Source organism: Homo sapiens, chromosome 15, assembly GCF_000001405.40.
Source record: "Homo sapiens chromosome 15, GRCh38.p14 Primary Assembly".
Taxonomy (NCBI): domain Eukaryota; kingdom Metazoa; phylum Chordata; class Mammalia; order Primates; family Hominidae; genus Homo; species Homo sapiens.
Window position 1 is genome coordinate 74,668,414 of NC_000015.10, and position 21,428 is coordinate 74,689,841.

Here is a 21,428-nt window from a genome sequence, read left to right on the forward strand (position 1 = left end):
AATAATATGAATTGCTAATAAGGGTCATCTTCAAGTGCACGGAAGATTATAAACTGCCTATTTGAACTTCTAACAAATCAACAATTTCTGCTAAAAGAAAAAAGATTTTCAGACAGGGCAACATAGTGAGACCTTGTCTCTACTAAAAGTAAAAAGACTAGCCAGGTATGGTGGCACACACCTGTAGTCCCAGCTACTCAGGAGGCTGAGGTGGGAGGATCATTTGAGCCTGGGAGTTCAAGGCTGTAGTGAGCTGTGATCGTATCACTGCATTCCAACCTGAGTGACAAAGCAAGACCCTGTCTCAAAAATGAATGAAAGAAAGAAAGAAAGAAAGAAAGAAAGAAAGAAAAAGGTTAAAGTCTAAATGGAAAGAATCATTTTCTATCCAAGCATTCTACAGTTTTTCTAAGGATACAGAAGTCACAACTGAATTTCAGTCTCATATTTGCAAACATCGTCATTTCAGATAGTTGTTTCATATGCACCAAAGGAAACTACCTTGAAACTGTATATTACATACATTAAAACATTTTTTTAGGCCAGGTGCAGTGGCTCACGTCTGTAATCCCAGCACTTGGGGAGGCCGAGGCAGGCAGATCAACTGAGGTCATGAGTTCGAAATCAGCTTGGGCAACATGGCATTATCCCATCTCTACTAAAAATACAAAAATTAGCCGGGCGCAGTGGCTTATGCCTGTAATCTCAGCACTTTGGGAGGCCGAGAGTTTGAGACCAGCCTGACCAACATGGAGCCCCGTTTCTACTAAAAATACAAAATTAGCCAGACGTGGTGGCACATGCCTGTAATCCCAGCTACTCGGGAGGCTGAGGCAGGAGAATCTTTTGAACCCAGGAGGCGGAAGTTGCGGTGAGCCAAGATCACGCCATTGCACTCCAGCCTGGGCAATAAGAGCGAAACTCTGTCTCAAAAAAAAAAAAAAAAAAATTAGCCGGGCATGGCAGCAAGTGCCTGTAGTACCAGCTTCTAGGGAGGCTGAGGCAGGAGAATCACCTGAACATGGGAGGTGGAGGTTGCAGTGAGCCAAGATCACACCACTGCACTCCAGCCCGGGCAACAGAGCAAGGCTCCATCTCAAAAAAAAAAAAAAATTAGTTTTAATTTAGTTGTTTATTCACTTGAATCAGGCATCTCCAAAACTTAAAATGTTGGCCCCTGACACAGGTGTCACACCACAAGCTACTAATAGAATTCACCCAGCACACTAAAACCTTACTACATTGCCACCAGGACCACAGTGTGAGGAGCAACAATGGTAGCAAGAAGTATCCGGAATTTTATGTAATAAACTTTCTGAGTGGGGTCTAGAGAGACCTAGCTCACTCTAAATTGTGCCTTTTAGAAGGTATTGCCATAGCATGACTCTAGCTTATAATTTTAAATGAGTTAATGAATACTCATTTAAAATTTCTTTTGGTTGTTCATTTTGAGACAGTCTCACACTGTCACCCAGGCTGAAGTGCAGTGGCATGATCTTGGCTAATCACAACCTCCGCCTCCCTGGCTCAAGCCATCCTTCCACCTCAGCCTCCTGAGTAGCTGGGACCACAGGTGCACGCTGCCACGCCCAGCTAATTTTTTTTTTTTTTTTTTTTTTTTTTTTGTAGGGATGGGGTTTTGCCATGTTGCTCAGGCTGGTCTCGAACTCCTGGGCTCAAGCGATCCACCTGCCCCAGCCTCCTGAAGTAGTGAGATTACAGGTGTGAGCCACTTGCACCCAGCCTCTCACTTAAAATTTCTAATACATTCTGCTACCATCTGTGAGTACAAAACCATCTAAGTAAAATAAGAATAGTTTGGCATTTGGAAGTAATTTTTTAAAACAACATTCATATTAATTTAAGGAGCATAACAGATTCCAGTGAATGTTATGATTCGCTATTGTAACATTATTCTAGTAAATATGTTGGAGAAGAACAGTTCTAGTGAATTAACTATGGTTTTGGAAGGCAGCTATGCTCACCATCATACCACCAACACAACTATGGTTTTATTTTATATTATTTATTTTATTTTTGAGACAGAGTCTCGCTCTATCGCCCAGGCTGGAGTGGCACAATATCAGCTCACTGCAACCTCTGCCTCCTGGGTTCAAGGGATTCTCCTGCCTCAGCCTCCAAAGTAGCTGGGATTACAGGCATGCACCTCCACGTCCGGATAATTTTTGTATTTTTAGCAGAGACGAGGTTTCAACATGTTGGCCAGGCTGGCCTCAAACGCCTGACCTCAGGTGATCTGCCCGCCTCAGCCTCCCAAAGTGCTAGGATTACAGGTGTGAGCCACCGTGCCTGGTCACAACTATGGTTTTATAATCAGCAAATGGCATTTAATAATGTGTTAGTATCAAACAAAACTGGGCAGCAACAGAGACCAATGCACATTCTTCTTGGTGTGTCAGTAGGAACAAATACAGCAAATTAAAAATTGTCTGCTAGAAAATCAAAGATCACAGAGATGTTTGGATCAGTCCCCTCCTCTCTTCTGAGGATGAGACTCAAATCACAGGAAGAAAAGTTACTCAAGAATCCTCTGGAACAGCCCAAGTGCAGGTTCAACTCAAACACTACTACCAACATCAGTAACAGGATTTAAGTTTTTTTTTTTTTCTTTTTCAGAAACAGAATCTCACTATTTTGCCCAGACTAGCCTTGAACTCCTGGGCTCAAACAATCCTCCTGCCTCAACCTCTCAAGTAGCTGGGACTATAGATGCGTGCCACCACGCCCAGTAGTTCCTGGATTTAAAACATCACTGTTAGTAAACTCTGGGCAGACTTTTCCTGAAGGAAGTGGTAAGAGAGGGCAGGAAGCTCACAGGCATCCCTAACAGCTTATTTCCTTTCCCTTAACATCTTGAGGAATGAGGCCTGGAGGAAGAGAACCATGTTGTATTTCTGTGACGCTCAGCCAGCATCCATTTTATTGGAATAACAAAGGATTTGTTTAAAGAGCAGCAGTGCTTATGGCTTATAGCCCTGAAACACCAGATTGAGAAGAAATATCAACTTGACCCTACTTACAGGAGTTGTGCCGACGACGGAAACTTTTGGACTGACTCAAGGATTCCATGTGCCTGTCGACATAGCTCTTTGAGCACTGTTGCTGCTGCGGGGAAACGGCAACATCCTGGCTCTTCACATCTGTCCTCTTAGGGATATTCTGAGGGGCACTGCTGGAAGAGGCTGGCTTCTTGACAAACTTGCCTGTGCCATTCTGATTGATGCCCACTTGGCAGCCAGCACCAGAGGGGCCTAATTCTGTTTGATGAAGGTCTCCAAAATGTTGGTTGTCTCCAGGTCCTGGTATCTCCAGAATTTTTAACTCCGTAATGTCACCTGCCCTGAAATACACAAAAAAGCCAAGTCTCAAAATTATAATAGTGGTAAGAATGATGAAACTGAGATCATTAGCAAACAGCTACCCCTTTGCAGGACTGCATTTTATTGAGTTATCAGAGGCTAGGAAAGGGGGCTGTGTGCTTAAGGACAGGGGTCAGCCACCAACTATCCAACTGACACAATGCTAGCCTTTAAAAAGAGGCTATTGGCCGGGCACGGTGGCTCACGCCTGTAATCCCAGCACTTTGGGAGGCCGAGGCGGGCGGATCACGAGGTCAGGAGATCGAGACCATCCCGGCTAAAACGGTGAAACCCCGTCTCTACTAAAAATACAAAAAAAAAAAAAATTAGCCGGGCATAGTGGCGGGCACCTGTAGTCCCAGCTACTTGGGAGGCTGAGGCAGGAGAATGGCGTGAACCCGGGAGGCGGAGCTTGCAGTGAGCCGAGATCCCGCCACTGCACTCCAGCCTGGGCGACAGAGCGAGACTCTGTCTCAAAAAAAAAAAAAAAAAAAAGAGAGGCTATTGCTAACAACAAAACTGTATTAATCTTACATTCCCACAATGTTTAATGGCTTTTGTTCATTCATTCACTCCCTCGCTCATTCAACAGGAGTATATAAAATACTTACTATGTGGTAAGCCCTGCACTATGAACTATTTTGATCTGGTATATAGAGATGAAAACCACTACGTGCCCACAGGAACTCAGTCTGGTCAGTGGAAAAGACAAGTACATATTCAATCAAAAGTGTTAAATGGACTGGGCACCATGGCTCATGCCTATAATCCCAGCATTTTGGGAGGCCGAGGCAGGCGAATCACTTGAGGCCAGGAGTTCGAGACCAGCCTGGTCAACATGGCAAAACCCTGTCTCAACTAAATAGAAATGATTAGTCGGGTGTGGTGGTACGCACCTGCAATCCTAGCTACCCAGGAGGCTGAGGCATGAGAATCGTTTCACCCTGGGAGGCAAAGGTTACAGTGAGCAGAGATCGCACCACTGCACTCCAGCCTGGGCAACAAAGTGAGACTCTGTCTCAAAAAAAAAAAATTTTTTTTTTTAAGTGTTAAATGTTATGACAGAGGTGTGCATAGGAGACTAGAGAGCCTAAAAGCAAAATATTTAAGTCAGTCTGGTGGAGATGAATGCAATACTTAAGCTAAATCTGGCCAGGGCAGGGGGAATGAGTGGCTAAGCAAAGAACAGCAGGGAGAAAGGCATCTCAGGTAGGGGCTCAGAGACTGAGGAAATGTAGAAAATATGGCCCACGTGAGGAACTGCAAGTGTTATGGTGATACTAAAGGGACGGATGTTGTGGAAGGCCATCAGGAAGTAAGGTTGCAGAGGTAACCAAGGACCACATCATGATCACAATGGATTTTCCTGGTGGCTATAGGGAAGGAGAAGAAAAAAGAGGCAGTGGTACCAGTTAGAAGACCAAGCAAGAAATAAGAGGGGATGAACCAAGCAAGCGGTAATACAAAGGGAGAAGGGATCAAGAGACATTTCGAATCCATACGATTTTGGCAACTAACTGAACACGAGGATTAAAGAGAAAGAAGAGTTTATTATGACTCCTAAGTTTCTAACATAGGGGAAAGGTGTTATTAGTCATAAATAATGGGTATGCCCTTGGAAAAACAAATCTACAGGAAAACATAACGAGATTAGCTCCGAAAATCTTGCATTTAAGATATCTTGTGGGATGTCCAATGGAAATGACCAGCAGACAAGGTGTCTGTCTCATAATGGGACTAAATTAAAGATTTGAGGTCTTGGCTGGGGCATGGTGGCTCACACCTGTAATCCCAGCACTTTGGGAGGCCGAGAAGGGCAGATTACAAGGTCAGGAGATCGAGACCATCCTGGCTAACACGGTGAAACCCCGTCTCTACTAAAAATATAAAAACAAAATTAGTCGGGCATGGTGGCGGGCACCTGCAGTCCCAGCTACTCGGGAGGCTGAGGCAGGAGAATGGCATGAACCCGGGAGATGGAGTTTGCAGTGAGCCAAGATCGTGCCACTGCACTCCGGCCTGGGTGACAGAGTGAGACTCCATCAAAAAAAAAAAAAAAAAAAAGATTTGAGGTCTCATTAACATATAGAGTACACAAGAGTTTGTCTAGAGAATAAAAGCTGAGAAAAGAACCAAAGATAGAACCCTGAGTAATTCAATCTTAACAGGTGAGTAGAAGAAAAGGAACATAAAAAACAACAAAAAAAGTAAAGGAATGGAGGAATATGTGGAATACATGCAAAGAAAAACCAAAGAGGTGACAGGGAAACTAAAGGACAGTACTGTACTTTAAAAGATAGGGAGCATTTTATTTTTATTTATTTTTTTACAGACAGGGTCTTGCTCTATTACCCAGGCTGGAGTGCAGTGGTGCTATCATAGCTCACTGCAGTCTCCAACTCCTAGGCTCAAGTGATCTTCCTGTCTGAGCCCCAGGAGTAGCTGCGATTACAGGCACATGCCACCACACCCAGCTAATTTTTAAAATTTTTCTTTTGTAAAGACGAGGTCTCACTATGTTGACTAGCCAGTTTTGAAATCCTAGCCTCAAGTGATACTGCTGCCTTGGCCTCCCAAAGTGCTGGAATTACAGGTATAAGCCACTGCACCCATCAGGGAGCATTCAAATGAGATTGGGATTGAGATACTGTCAGTGAATTTGGCCATTAGGTTATTTGTAACCTTGGCAAAAACTAATTCAGCAAGATGACAAAGTTAGAAAAAAAGATAATGGTAGGGTACGGAGGTTCTAGAGAATGAAGCCACAAAAGATAGAGAAAGCAGATTATTTGGCTCTGACAAGGATTATGGGTTAAAGGGAAGGGAAATGACACAACAATACCTAGTGGCAAATGCAAGATCTAAGGGAGAGGGTTGTTTTTAATAAAGGGGAGGCCAAGGAATGAATATCGGAATGCAAAGAGGAAATAAACAGTATAGGCCGGGCATGGTGGTTCACACCTGAAATCCCAGCACTTCGGGAGGCCACAACGGGCAGATTACTTGAGGCCAGTAGTTCGAGACCAGCCTGGCCAACACAGTGAAACCCCATCTCTACTAAAAATACAAAAAGCGGCCATATGCCAAGAGAATACTAGCAATCAGACCTAGGTTCAAGCTCCACAGACCACCAGGTTGGATTCAGAAGAGTCAGTCAGGACACTCACCTGAAGGTGACTTCTGGAACAAGACACTTCACTCCATTATGGAAAGGCCGGGTGAGAGAAATGGTCTGGCTGACCTGATCCACAGCTGACACTCTTCCCTGATAGACACCCAAGCTATCTCCACAATTGATGGACACAATACTTCCCAGCCAATCTGTAGCCATGTTTCACACGTGAGACCACTGTGAAGAGAAGGAACTATTCAGTGTGCCTTGGTGAAAAGACAAACTTTTAATTAAATTCAGCAAATATATCAGGCTCTGTACCAAGTGTTGGTTAATAAAACATATTCTATCACATTGTTAACTGAGGTAATAAATCTTAAAAAAATTAAAATTTTTTTTCAGGAGTATGAATATTAAAAAATAATATTATTTAATACATATAAAGATCTTATAATTGCTTTAAAGCGCATACATTGGATAAAGATATTTATTACACATCAAATCACACAAACTATAATCTGTTTATATTGTATTTTAATAAATCTGCTGTCAAAATGTTTTCAAAGAGAGTATGTTGCTGAGAAATAATATATTAAAAAAACAAATTACTGATAATGCCACTCTTGCTGATGATGATAATAATAATAATAATTAATAATAATAGTAAATTCTGGATAGTTGTTTTTTTTTTTTTTGAGACGGAGTTTCACTATTGTTGCCCAGGCTGGAGTGCAATGGTGCGAGGCGGGCAGATCACGAGGTCACGAGATCAAGACCATCCTGGCTAACACGGTGAAACCCCGTCTCTACTAAAATATACAAAAAATTAGCCAGGCGTGGTGGCGGGTGCCTGTAGTCCCAGCTACCCGGGAAGCTGAGGCAGGAGAATGGCGTCAACCCAGGAGGCGGAGGTTGCAGTGAGCCGAGATCACACCACTGCACTCCAGCCTGGGCGACAGAGAGAGACTCTGCCTCAAAAAAAAAAAAAAGAAATTTTTTTAAAGCCAATTGAAGGTACTATAGAACACTAAACCTAACGACTACAGAATATATATCCTTTTCAAGTCTACATAGAATGTTCACGCATATATGCTGGGCCTTAAACAAGTATGAATAAATTTAAAAAGACTGAGATCACATAAAATATATTCTCTACCCACAACAGAATTAAATTTGAAATTGATAAAAATAGATATTTAGAATATTCCCAAATATTTGGAAATTAAGCAAGACATTTCCAAATAACCTATGGGTAAAAGAAGAAATCAAAAGGGCAGTCAGAAAATAGTTCTAACTCAACGATAATGAAAACACAACATCAACTTTTGTATGACATGCTTAATATAGTGCGTAAAAGGGGGAATTTATAACTTTAAGTGCTTGTTAGGAAAGAAAGGTCTAAAATCAATTGTCTAAGCTTCCATCTTAAGTATTAGTAAAAAAAGAACAGATTAACCTGATGTTAATAGAAAGGAAATCAAGAGCAGAAACCAATGAAACAAGAAACAACTAAGAAAAATAAAACAAAAATTAGCTCTTTGAAAATATTAATAAAGTTGGTAAACACCTAATAAAGAAAAAAGATAAAACACATATTATTAATATCAGAAATGAACAAAGAGACATCATAGACATTAAAAAATAACCTTATGCCAGCAAATTTGACAACTAGACAAAATGGGGAACTTCTTAGACAAAAGTTATCAAAACTGACACAAGAAATTAAAAATCTGAGTAGCTGCATGTCTATTTTAAAAACTGAATTTATCAAGAGAATAAGACAAGACACAAATTAGGAGAAAATATTTGTGAAAGACATATTTGATAAAGGTCTGTTATCCATAACATACCAAGAACTCTTAAAACTCAACAATAAGAAAATGAACAACCTGATGAAACAATGAGCAAGAGACCCAAAAGGATACTTCACCAAAGAAGACATGGACACGGCAGGCAAGCATATGAAAAGATGCTCTACATCATATCATCAGGGAATTAATGGAAATTAAAACAACAATAAGATGCCACTACACACCTGTCAGAATGGCCGAAATCCAAAACACTGACAACACCAAATGCTGACGAGGATGTGGAGCAACAAAAACCGTCATTCATTGCTGACAGGAATGCAAAATGATGCAGCCACTTTGAGTATGCATTTTTCTTTTTTTTTTTGAGATGGAGTCTTACTCTGCCGCCCAGGCTGGAGTGCGGTGGCACAATCTCAGCTCACTGCAACCTCCACCTCCCGGGTTCAAGCAATTCTCCTGCCTCAGCCTCCTGAGTAGCTGGGATTACAGGCATGCACCACCACACCTGGCTAATTTTTGTATTTTTAGTAGAGACGGGGTTTCACCATGTTGGTCAGGCTAGTCTTGAACTCCTGACCTCATGATCCACCCGCCTCACCTCCCAAAGTGCTGGGATTACAGGCGTGAGCCACCATGCCCAGCCTTTTTTTTTTTTTTTTTTTTGGAGACTGAGTCTCACTCTATCTTTATCGCCCAGGCTAGAGTGCAGTGGTACAATCTCAGCTCATTGCAGCCTCTGCCTCTTCAATCAATTCTCCTGCCTCAGCCTTCCAAGTAGTTGGGACTACAGACACGTGCCACCACACCCAGCTAATTTTTGTTGTTGTTTTTTTTCTCAGTAGAGGGGTTTCACCATGTTGCCCAGGCTGGTCTCGAACTCCTGACCTCAGGTGATCTGTCTGCCTCGGCCTCCTAAGTGCTAGGTTTATAGGCATGAGCCACTGTGCCTAGCTTGCATATGCATATTAATAAGGTAGTTTCTCACAAAACTAAATATACCATCTGATCCAGCAATCACTCTCCTTGGTATTTACCCAGATGAACTGAAAACTTACATCCACCATAAATCTGCACGTGGATGTTTACAGCAGCTTTATTCAAAATTGCTCAAATTCGGAAGCAATCAAGACATCCTTCAGTAGGTGAATGGATGAATGAACTATGGCACACCCAGACAGTGGAATACTATTCAGCACAAAAAAGAAATGAGCTATCAAGCCATGAAAAGACATGGAGGAAACTGAAAAGCACATTACTAAGTGAAAGAAGCCAATGTGAAAAGGATACATACATACTATATGATTCCAGCTACAAGGTTTTCTGGAAAAGGCAAAACTATGGAGACAGTAAAAGGAGCAGTGGGTGCCAGTGGTTAGTGGGGTGGGGGTGGGAGGTGAACAAGAGAATTTTTAGGGCAGTGAAACTATTCTGTTTGATACTATAATGGTAGATATGTGTCACTTCAAAACCCATAGAATGTACAACACCAAGAGTGAACCCTAATGTTAACTATGGACTCTGGATGACAACGAAGTGTCAGTGTAGGTTCATCAATTGTAACAAACACGACCGTGGTGTGGAATGTTGACAGCAGAGAGGGCTTACTGGGGGACAACAGTGAGATATATGGGAACCCTCTGTATTTTCGGCTCAATTTTTCCCTGAAACTAAAACTGCTCTAAAAAATAAAGTCTATTTAATAGAAAAAACCAAATTGATTATGTAATTTAAAACCTTCCTACAAAGAAAAATCCAGGCCTAGATGGCTTTACTGGCTTTTTCTTTTTAACTAAGTCTGAACTAGACAGCTTTACTCGTTAATTTTATCCAACATTTTAGGAAAAAAATAATGTCAATCTCATACAAACTTTTAGAAAACACAGGGGAATGAGGCTGGATGCAATGGCTCATGCCTGTAATCCCAGCACTTTGGGAGACTGAGGCAGGTGGATCACTTGAGATCAGCAGTTTGTGACCAGCCTGGCCAACATGGTGAAACCCTGCCTCTACTAAAAATACAAAAATTAGCCAGGCATGGTGGCACGTGCCTGTAATCCCAGCTACTCAAGAGGCTGAGGCAGAAGAATCGCTTGAAATGGGGAGGTGGAGGTTGCAGTGAGCTGAGATCACACCATTGCACTACAGCTTGGGCGACAGAGCGAGACTCCGTCTCAGAAAAAAAAAAAAAAAAAGGCTGGGCACAGTGGTTCACACCTGTAATCCCAGCACTTTGGGAGGCTGAGGAGGGTAGATCACTTGAGTTCAGGAGTTCAAGACCAGCCTGGCCAACATGGTGAAACCCCATCTCTACTAAAAATACAAAAAAAAAAATTAGCCAGGTGTGGTGGTACACACCTGTAATCCCAGCTACTCGAGAGGCAGAGGCAGGAGAATGGCTTGAACCCAGGAGGGGAGGTTGCAGTTAGCCAAGATCGCGCCACTGCACTCCAGCCCAGGTGACAAAGCAAGACTCTGTCTCAAAAATAAAAATTAAAAAAAAGAAAGAAGCATTTCCCAATTTGTTCAATGTAGCTAGTATAACTCTGACGTGAAAGCCTCCCCACAAAGGCTTTATAAGAAAAAGATCAACATCCTGCACAAATATAGACCAAAAATCCTCAACAAGATATTAACAAATCAAATCCAGCAATAAATTTTAAAAGTCTAATATATCACATATATTTAGGTCCCTACTCCTAGAATGCAAAATTGGTTTGATATTTTAAAAATCGATCAATTTTAAATCATTTTAACAGAATGAGAAAATCATAAACGTTATCACATCAGTAAATACAGAAATATTATCTTGATACCAAGACCTGACAACAATAAGACAAAAACAAAACTACAGAATACTATCCCCCATGAATGTAAACATAAAATTCCTTATCAAAATATCACCCAACAATTCAACAATAATGATCCAGGCTCAGTGGCTCACACCTGTAATCCCAGCACTTTGAGAGGCCAAGGTGGGAGGATAGCTTGAGGCCAGGAGTTTGAAACCAGCCTGGGCAACACAGTGAGACCTTATTTCTACCAAAAAAAAAAAAAAAAAAAAAAAAACAGGTGTAGTGGTGCATACCAGTAATCTCAGCTACTTGGGAGCCTGAGGCAGGAAGGGAGCTTGGGCCCATGAGTCAGTGGATGGAGTGAGCTATGATCACACCACTGCACTCCAGCCTGGGCAACAAAGCAAGACACCATCTCTAAAATAAAAGTAAAAAACAAAACAATAAACATAAAGAATTATACACCACACCCAGCCAGGTGTGGTGGCTCACGCCTGTAATCCCAGCACTTTGGGAGGCCAAGGTGGGCGGATCACGAGGTCAGGAGATCAAGACCATCTTAGCTAACATGGTGAAACCCTGTCTCTACTAAAAATACAAAAAATTAGCCAGGCGTGGTGGCGTGCTCCTGAGTCCCAGCTACTCGAGAGGCTGAGGCAGGAGAATGATGGGAACCCAGGAGGAGGAACTTGCAGTGAGCCACAATCACACCACTGCACTCCAGCCTGGGTGACAGAGCGAGACTCCATCTCAAAAAAAAAAAAAAAAAAAAAAAAGATTTATACACCACACCCAGGTGGAGTTTATTCCAAGGATGCAATGCTGACTCAAGATCAGAAAGCCAATCAATGTAATCTACCATATTAACAGGCTAAATAAGAAAAACACATGTTCATAGCAACTGACACAGAAATGCATTTGACAAAATCGAACACCCATTCATTCTTTTTTTAAAAAGCCTCTCAGAAAAATGGGAATAGAGAGGAACTTCATCAATCTGGTAAAGGGATCTAAAAAGTCCCTACAGCTAACATTATACTAAATGGTGAAAGACTGAATGCTTTCCCTATAAGAACATGAACAAGGCAAAGATATCCACTATTACTCAACACAGCTCTAGAAGTTCTCGCAATAAAGCAAGAAACAGATAAAAAAAGTATACAGTTTGTAAAGGAAAAAACAAAACTATCCCCATTTGCAGATGACATAACTGTCTATGTAGAAATTCCCCGTAATCTACAAAAAGTCTTAGAACAAGTGAGTTCAGCAAGATTGTGGGATACAAGATAAACATACAAAAGCCAATCTTATTTCAGTATATTAGCAATGAACACATGGGCAATGAAATTTAAAATACAATACCATTTACAATTGCTCAAAAAATAAAGTACTAGGTGTAAATCTAAAAAAAAAGGGTACAGGATTTGTATACTGAAAACTATGCAACACTGAGGAAAAAATCAAAATGCTAAATATAACAGATATAACATGTTCATGGATTAAAAGACTCGACAAAAAGTACATAAATCCTCCTCAAATTGGTATAAAGGATCAATGCAATTCTTATCAAAATCCCAGCAAGATCTGTAGATATAGACAAGGTTATTCTAAAATTTACAAGGAAAGGCAAAGAAACTAAAATAGCTAAATCAATATTTTTTTTGAGACGGAGACTCACTTTGTCGCCCAGGCTGGAGTGCAGTGGCGCAATCTCGGCTCACTGCAACCTCCACCTCCCGGGTGCAAGCAGTTTTCTGCTTCAGCCTCCCGAGTAGCTGGCATTACAGGTGCCCACCACCACGCCTGGCTAATTTTTGTATTTTTAGTAGAGACAGGGTTTCACCATCTTCGCCAGGCTGGTCTTGAACTCCTGACCCCATGATCCACCCACCTCAGCCTCCCAAAGTGCTGGATTACAGGCGTGAGCCACCACGCCTGGCTGCTAAATCAATTTTTTATAAGAAAGTGGGAACAATCAGTCTACCTGATTTCAAGACTTACACAATTATGATAATCAAGACTATATAGTATTGGCAGAGGGACAAACATGTAAATCGATAAAATAGAAGGCAGAACCCAGAAACAGACTCACAAAAATATGCCCAACTGATTTTTGACAAAGTGCAAAAACAATTCAATGCAGGCAGCATAGTTTTTACAACAAATAGCGCTGGAGCAAATGTAAATCCATCAGCAAAAAAATGAACCTCAAACTAAGGTTCACACTTTATACAAAAATTTACTCAAAATGTATCATGAACTTAAATGTAAAACATCAAACTCTAAAACTTTTAGAAAAAACATAAGAGAAACCCTCAAGATCTAGGGCTAGGCAAAGAGTTCTTAGACTTGACACCAAAAGCACAATCCATAAAAAGAAAAGCTGGTCAACTAGACTTCTTGAAAATTAAAATTTTTATTCCACAAAAAACAAGTCACAGACTGGGAGAAAATACTTGCAAACCACCTATCTGACAAAGACAAAGGAGTAGTATCTAGGAAATATACACCTTTCAAAATGGCTAAAATACAGTGATAACACCAAGTGCTAGTAAGAATGTGGAAAAAATGGATCACTCATACATTGCTAGTCCAAATATTGAATAGTACAGCTACTCTGGAAAACATCCTGGCAGGTTATTAAAAAAACTAAACATGCAATAATTAGCCAAGTGTGGTGGCGCACACCTGTAATCCCAGCTATTTGAGTGGCTAAGGCATGAGAATCGCTTGAACCTGGGAGGCGCAGGTTGCAGTGAGCCGTGATCCCACCACTGCACTCTAGCCTGAGCAACAGAGACTCTGTCTCAAAAAAAGAAAAAACCCAAGGCTGGGCACGGTGGCTCACGCCTGTAATCTCAGCACTTTGAGAGGCCAAGGCGGGTGGATCACAACGTCAGGAGATCGAGACCATCCTGGCTAACACGGTGAAACCCCGTCTCTACTAAAAATACAAAAAATTAGCCGGGCATGGTGGTGGGCTCCTGTAATCCCAGCTACTCGGGAGGCTGAGGCAGGAGAATGGCGTGAACTGAAGAGGTGGAGCTTGCAGTGAGCCGAGATGGGGCCACTGCACTCCAGCCTGGGCAACAGAGCAAGACTCCATCTCAAAAAAAAAAAAAAAAAAAACCAAAAAACTAAACATGCAACTACAATATGACCCAGCAGTTGCACTTCTGGTCATTTATCCCAGAGAAAGGAAGACCTAGGTTCACACAAAAACCTGTACGTGGGCTGGGCGCAGTGGCTCACGCCTGTAATCCCAGCACTTTGGGAGGCTGAGGCAGGTGGATCACCTGAGGTCGGGAGTTCGAGACCAGCCTGACCAGCATGGAGAAATCCTGTCTCTACTAAAAATACAAAACTAGCTGGGAGCGGTGGCGCATGCCTGTAATCCCAGCTACTCGGGAGGCTGAGGCGGGAGAATCGCTTGAACCTGGGAGGCAGAGGTTGTGGTGAGCCCAGATCGCACCACTGCACTCCATTCTGGGCAACAAGAGCGAAACTCTGTCTCAGAAAAAAAATAAAATAAAATACCCTGTACACAAGTGTTTATATCACATTTACTCAAAAAAGCCACAAACTGGAAACAACTCAGATAACCTCAATGAGTGAATAAACAAACAGTGGTACATTCATACCACAGGGCAAAAAGTAAAAATGCCAACCCCAAGAGGTTGTGTTCTGTATGATTCCATTTGTGTAACATTCTTGAAATGACAAAGCTATAGAAATGGAGAACAGGGCCGGGCACAGTGGCTGATGCCTGTAATCCCAGCACTTTGGGAGGCTGAGGAGGGTGGATCACCTGAGGTCAGGAGTTCAAAACCAGCCTGGCCAACATGGCGAAGCCTCGTCTCTACCAAAAATACAAAAATTAGCCCGGCGTGGTGGCAAGCGCCTATAGTCCCAGCTACTCGGGAGGCTGAGGCAGGAGAATCACTTGAACCCAGGAGGCGGAGGTCGCAGTGAGCTGAGGTCAAGGTCGTGACAGTGTACTCCAGCCTGGGCAACAGAGTAGCAACATGGGGGACTCTTGTAGTAATGGAAATATTTTACATCTTGACCATATCAATGTCAATATCCTAGTAGTGATACTGTATTACAGTTTTGCAAGATGTTACCAACAGGGGAAACTGGGTAGGGCATAAGGAATCTCTCTGTATTATTTCTTACAATGGCATGTGAATCTACAACTATCTCAGAAGTTTAATTAAAAAAAAAATCAATGCCTTGCATCACATTAACAAAATAAGTGATGAAATCATGTATAATCATATCAATAAATGCAGAAAGATAATTGGACAAAATTTAACAATCATTCACTATATTTAAAAAGGGGAGGGAAAGCTGGCATCTACAAAACAATTACAGCTAACATGATACTTAATGGTGAAATAGGCCAGGCATGGTGGCTCACACCTGTAATCTCAGCACTTTCAGAGGCTGAGGCAAGAAGATCACAGAGCTCAGGAGTTTGAGGTTACAGTGAGCTATGATTGTACCACTGCACTCCAGCCTGGGCAACAGAGCCAGACACTGTCTTTATTTTATATATTTTGGTTTTTTGTTTCTGTTTTTTTTTTTTTTTTTTTTGGCTCACTGCAGCCTCCTGGGCTCCTGGGCTCAGGTGATCCTCCCGCCTCAGCCTCCTGAGTAGCTGGGACTATAGGTGTATGCTACCATGGCCAGCTAATATTTTCTGTTTTGTAGAGACAGGGTCTCACTTTGCTGCCCAAGCTAGTCTTGACCTCACAGCTCAATTGATCCTCCCACCTCAACTTCCTGAGTAGCTGGGACTACAGGCCCACACCACCACACCCAGCTAATTTTTGTATTTTTTGTAAGACAGGGTTTTGCCATGTTGCCCAGGTTTCCAACTCCTGAGTTCAAGCTATCTGCCTACCTCGGCCTCCCAAAGTGCTAAGATTACAGGCATGGGCTACCATGCCCAGCTGAGACTTTGTCTCAAAAAAAAAAAAAAAAAAAAAGGTGGGGTTGAAATAAATGCTTTCCCCAAGTACTGAGGATGAGGCAAGGATGTCCACTCTCACCACTTGTACTTATATTCAACAACTGTAGGTCCTAGCCAGTGTAATAAGACAAGAAAAAGAAAAAAAAAAACCCAGAAAGTTAAATAAATAATAAAGTTAAATAAGACAGTAAAACTGTCTTTATTTGCAATGACATAATTAGCTGTTTACAGTCAATCCATAAAAAGTCCTACTAGAACTAATAAGGAAATTTAGCAAGGTCACAGGATATATGCTCGATGTAGAAAAAACAACAACAGCAGCAAACAACTGAAAATGAAATTTTAGGCCAGGCATGGTGGCTCATGCCTGTAATCCCAGCACTTTAGGAGGCCAAGGCTTCCCAAATTTTACACAAGTTATTCCTAGAACACTTTCCCCAGCTCTATGAATGGTTAGTTCCATCCTGCCTTTCCGACATCTGGTAAAACATGACCATCTCAAAAAAGCCTTCCCTGTCTACCCAATCTAACGTGGCTACTCATCGTTATTCTCCAACACCTTAAATCCTGTTATGATCTCAAAATCAATCACTATATGAATTATCTTGTTTCTTCATATTGTGTGTGTTGGTCAGGCATGGTGGTTCATGCCTGTAATCTCAGCATTCTGGGAGGCTAAGGTGGGCAGATGGCTTGAGTCCAGAAGTTTGAGACCAGCCTAGGCAACATAGGGAGACCCCATCTCTGCAAAAAAATTAAAAAAACTAGCCAGGCTTGGTGGCACATGCCTGTAATACAAGCTACAGCTACTCAGAATGCTGAGACAGGAGGACCACTTGAGCCCGGAAGGTCAAGGCTGCAATGAGCCATGATCAGGCCACTGCACCCCAGCCTAGATGACAGAGTGAGACCCTGTCTCAAAACAAAAAGTATATAGATAGATAGATAGATAGTGTGTGTGTCACCCCACTAGAATAGGACAAATGACATAGTCTTGTTCAGTCAATAAGAGTGCCTAGAGTGGAAGAAGTCAATAAATATTTAATCAATCGATGAATGAATTAGAAATAATAAACGTGACAGAAGTTACTCAAAATCTAGAGTACCTACATGTTTATATCTAAATGTCTTGGCTCTTTTTGAAAATGGTTCTAAAAAATACAGTATCCTTGGGCATACTCTATGCAAAATCCTATATAAGGTATGAAACCTAACACTTCCCCACTCACACGAGGAAGTCAGAAAACAGCTAGCAGATGATAGCAGATGAATATAAATACACATGTTAAGCACAAAGTGAAACACTGGTTCAGTGTTTTTACATTAAAAAAAGAAACCAGCACTTGAAACTGTTTTCAAATACTAATTTCAGACATAAAGGAGCAAAAAAGCATATAAAGCACCCCTCTGGTAAAAGAGTATGTCCTGACTGAGTGTGGGGGCTCACGTTTATAATTCCAGCAGTTTGGGATGCCAAGGCAGGTGGATCACATGAGGTCAGGAGTTCGAGACCAGCCTGACCAACATGATGAAACCCCATATCTACTAAAAATACAAAATTGGCCGGGCGCAGTGGCTCACGCCTGTAATCCCAGCACTTTGGAAGGCTGAGGCAGGTGGATCACAAGGTCAGGAGTTCGAGACCAGCCTGACCAACAAGGTGAAACCCCATCTCTACTAAAAATACAAAAATTAGCCAAATGCGGTGGCATGTTCCTGTAATCCCAGTTACTCAGGAGGCTGAAGCAGGAGAATCGCTTGAACCCGGGAGGCGGAGGATGCAGTGGGCTGAGATCGTGCCATTGCACTCCAGCCTGGGCAACGAGAACAAGACTCGGTCTCAAAAAAAAAAAATTAGCCGGGCATGGTGGTGCATGCCTGTAATCCCAGCTACTTGGGAGGCTGAGGCAGGGGAGTCACTTGAAATTGGGAGGCGAAGGTTGCAGTGAGCTGAGATCACACCATTGCACTCCAGCCTGGGCAACAAGAACAAGACTCCATCTCAAAAAAAATTAAATAGGCCAGCCACGGTGGCTCACTCCTATAATCCCAGCACTTTCAGAGGCCGAGGCAGGTGGATCACCTGAGGAGTTTGAGACCAGCCTGGCCAACATGGTGAAACCCCATCTCTACTAAAAATACAAAAATTAGCCAGGTGTGGTGGTGGGTGCCTGTAATCCCAGCTATTTAGGAGGCTGAGGTGGGAAAACCACTTGAACCCAAGACGCAGAGGATACAGTGAGCAGAAATTGCGCCACTGCACTCCAGCCTGCTAACAAGAGCAAGACTTTGTCTCAAAATAAATACATAAATGAAGGGAAAGGGGCAAAAAAGCATATACAGCACTCCTCCAGGCCAGCCGCAATGGCTCACGCCTATAATCCCAGCACTTTGGGAGGCCGACGTGGACGGCATGGTGGCATGCACCTGTAATCCCAGCTACTCAGGAGGCTGACAGGATAACTGCTTGAACCCAAGAGGCGGAGCCTGCAGTGAGCCGACACCGCACCACTGCACTCCAGCCTGGGCAACAGAGCAAGACTCCGTCTAGAAAAAAATAAAAAATAAATAAAAATAAAGCACTCCTGGCTGGGTGCAGTGGCTCACAGTTGTAATTCCAGGAGTTTGGGAAGCCAAGGCAGGAGCATCACTTGAGTCCAGGAATTCAAGACCAGGCTGGGCAACACAGCAAGACCCTGTCTCAAAAAAAAAAACAAAAAACAGTATGCCCCATTAGAAACACTAAGTCTGAAAGAGTCCAGCTCTAGGGATTAATCAAACTCTAGATAGTTCTCTAGTGATCTAACTGAGCCAGTATCATAAAACTATGCGGACAGAACCGAAGATTAAAAGAACAATGAATTAGCAGGCTCATACAGGCTTTTTTTTGTTACATTTATTATAGAATGAAACAGAGCCTTGCTCTGTCGCCCAGGCTAGAGTGCAGTGGCGCAATCTTGGCTCACTGCAACTTCTGCCTCCCAGGTTCAATCAGGCAATTCTCCTTCCTCAGCCTCCTGAGTAGCTGGGACTACAGGCGCCCGCCACCACACCCAGCTAATTTTTGTATTTTTAGTAGAGATGGGGTTTCACCATGTTGGCCAGACTGATCTCGAACTCCTGCCTTCTGGTGATCTGCTCACCTCAGCCTCTGCACTAGGATTACAGGCATGAGCCACTGTGCCTGGCCCTTGGGTAAATTTTCAATGCAACACAATTTCAACAATAATGATGATGGTAAAAAAGCACAAAATACACACATTTTAGGCTTCTTTTCCCTTCCTGATCAACCTTTGCCTAATGTCACAAAAGCATGAGTTTCCTTTCCTATCATTTATAATCCATCATAATTCTACTCAGATGCTTAGATAGATGCAGAATAAAAAGCACCAGAAATTAACCAGATATGAAAAGGCTTTTACTGTTTTATTTAACATATATCTTTAAGACACTGATGTTGTGCATTCAAGTTTATATTATGGTAGTAGTAACTGAATAGAATTTTTAACACTTTGAAAATGTGGATACTCGTTTATAAGTGTTCTTCTATGTAGTTAATATTAATAGAAACTTTTAAAAATATAACCACTGAATGTGTAACAAACTTCCCTTTCCTCAGAAACTTCCCTTGGTAAAATAGCATTATTCAAAACTCCTCAAACAGGTTTATTCTATAAAGAAAATTATGCTATTTACAGAAAACAGTAAATCTAAAACAAGTACAGTGCCCATCAACTGGGTTCCTAATCGGACTAGGGAAGGGGCTCCATCAATTATACAGCTAACACCTCCACGTCAAAAGAAGTACAGGAGATACAGGAGCTACAAGGAACCAATCTTGTCTTTTATTTTCTACTTTTCTATCAAGGTATAACATATACAGTAAGTCAGTCTACATATTTTAAGTGTACACCTCCCTGAAATTTTACATATCAATTCACCCATGTGACCACCACTCAAAACAAGACAGACTATTTCCAACACCTCAAAAGGCTCCATTGTGTCCTCCTACAGGTAGTTATTATTCTGACATCTATCATGAAAGATTATTTGAGCCTGATTTTGAGCTTCACATAAACAGAATCATAAAGGTTCTCTTTCAGAGTGTTTGTCTTCTTTTGCTCAAAAGTACATCTGTGAGGCCAGGCATGGTGGCTCATGCCTGTAATCCCAGCACTTTGGGAGGCCACGGCGGGTGGATCACTTGAGGTCAAGAGTTCAATACCAATCTAGCCAACATGGCAAAACCCTGTCTCTACTAAAAATACAAAAAATTAGCTGGGCGTGGTGGCACATGCCTGTAATCCCAGCTACTCAGGAGGCTGAGGCACAAGAATCGCTTGAACTGGGGAGGCGGAGGTTGCAGTGAGCCAAGATCCTGCTACTGCACTCCAGTATGGGTGACAGAGCGAGATGCTGTCTCAAAAAAAAAAAAAAAAAAAGTACATTTGTGAGATTCATCCCCATTGTTGCATGTATCAGAAGTTTATTCTTTCTCATAGCTGTGCTGTTTTCTGTAAGCATGCCTCAATGTATTTATCCATTCTACTGCTGATACATAGTTGGGTTATTTCTAGTTCTGACTTATTACAAATAATATTCTTAAACTGTATACAGTATATTTCTGCGATGGACAAATACATCCATTTCTACTGGGCATATAACACAGGAAGTCATGTTATATTTATGACTTTATTAGGAACCACTGAACAGTTTTCCAAAGTGGTTGTACCATTTTGTATTACCATCTACATTTATACAACCCACCATACGTGAGTTCTTTCTGCTCCTCATCTTGCCAAAACTTGGTACTATTGTTCTCTTCAACTTACTCATTCTGGTGGGGTGCAATGGTTTTGGTATTTTCTTAAACATACTTCTTATTTACTCTTGCTTCATTGATACTGTTATTCTCCCAATAAATTATTCCTAAAATTGTAATGACTACTGAATTCAGAGATGTTGTGAATTACTATTCAGTCAAGAACTTGCTACCAAAGTTCATTTAGTCTTATTTGTCTTCCTTCTCCCTCCATTTCTTTTTTTTTTTTCTTTTTTTGAGACGGAGTCTCGCTCTTTCGCCCAGGCCGGACTGCAGTGGCACTATCTCAGCTCACTGCAAGCTCCGCCTCCTGGGTTCACACCATCCTCCCGCCTCAGCCTCCTGAGTAGCTGGGACTACAGGTGCCCGCCACCGCGCCCGGCTAATTTTTTGTATTTTTAGTGGAGATGGGGTTTCACCGTGTTAGCCAGGATGGTCTCGATCTCCTGACCTCATGATCCGCCCGCCTCGGCCTCCCAAAGTGCTGGGATTACAGGCGTGAGCCACTGCGCCCGGCCCTGCCTCCATTTCTTAAA

The 21,428-nt window shown here is 42.2% G+C and overlaps 1 protein-coding gene across 8 annotated transcripts in view; it reads right to left on the reverse strand.

The window, feature by feature from the left end:
• The window catches only part of EDC3 (enhancer of mRNA decapping 3), a 65,467-nt gene that overhangs the window by 37,856 nt on the left and 6,183 nt on the right, over positions 1 to 21,428 (reverse strand). For 3 of the 8 annotated variants that reach the window (NM_025083.5, XM_047433143.1, XM_024450079.2), the window contains 2 exons: positions 6,548 to 6,729; positions 3,042 to 3,361 (listed from right to left, as the gene is read on the reverse strand). In NM_025083.5, the coding sequence (NP_079359.2) occupies positions 3,042 to 3,361; positions 6,548 to 6,711 (484 nt within the window). In that variant the 5' untranslated portion in view covers positions 6,712 to 6,729. Of the gene's footprint in view, positions 1 to 3,041; positions 3,362 to 6,547; positions 6,730 to 8,527; positions 8,610 to 18,677; positions 18,767 to 21,428 lie in introns of all 8 variants that reach the window. The other 5 variants (NM_001351378.2, NM_001142443.3, XM_024450077.2 and 2 more) reach the window with 4 other exon arrangements.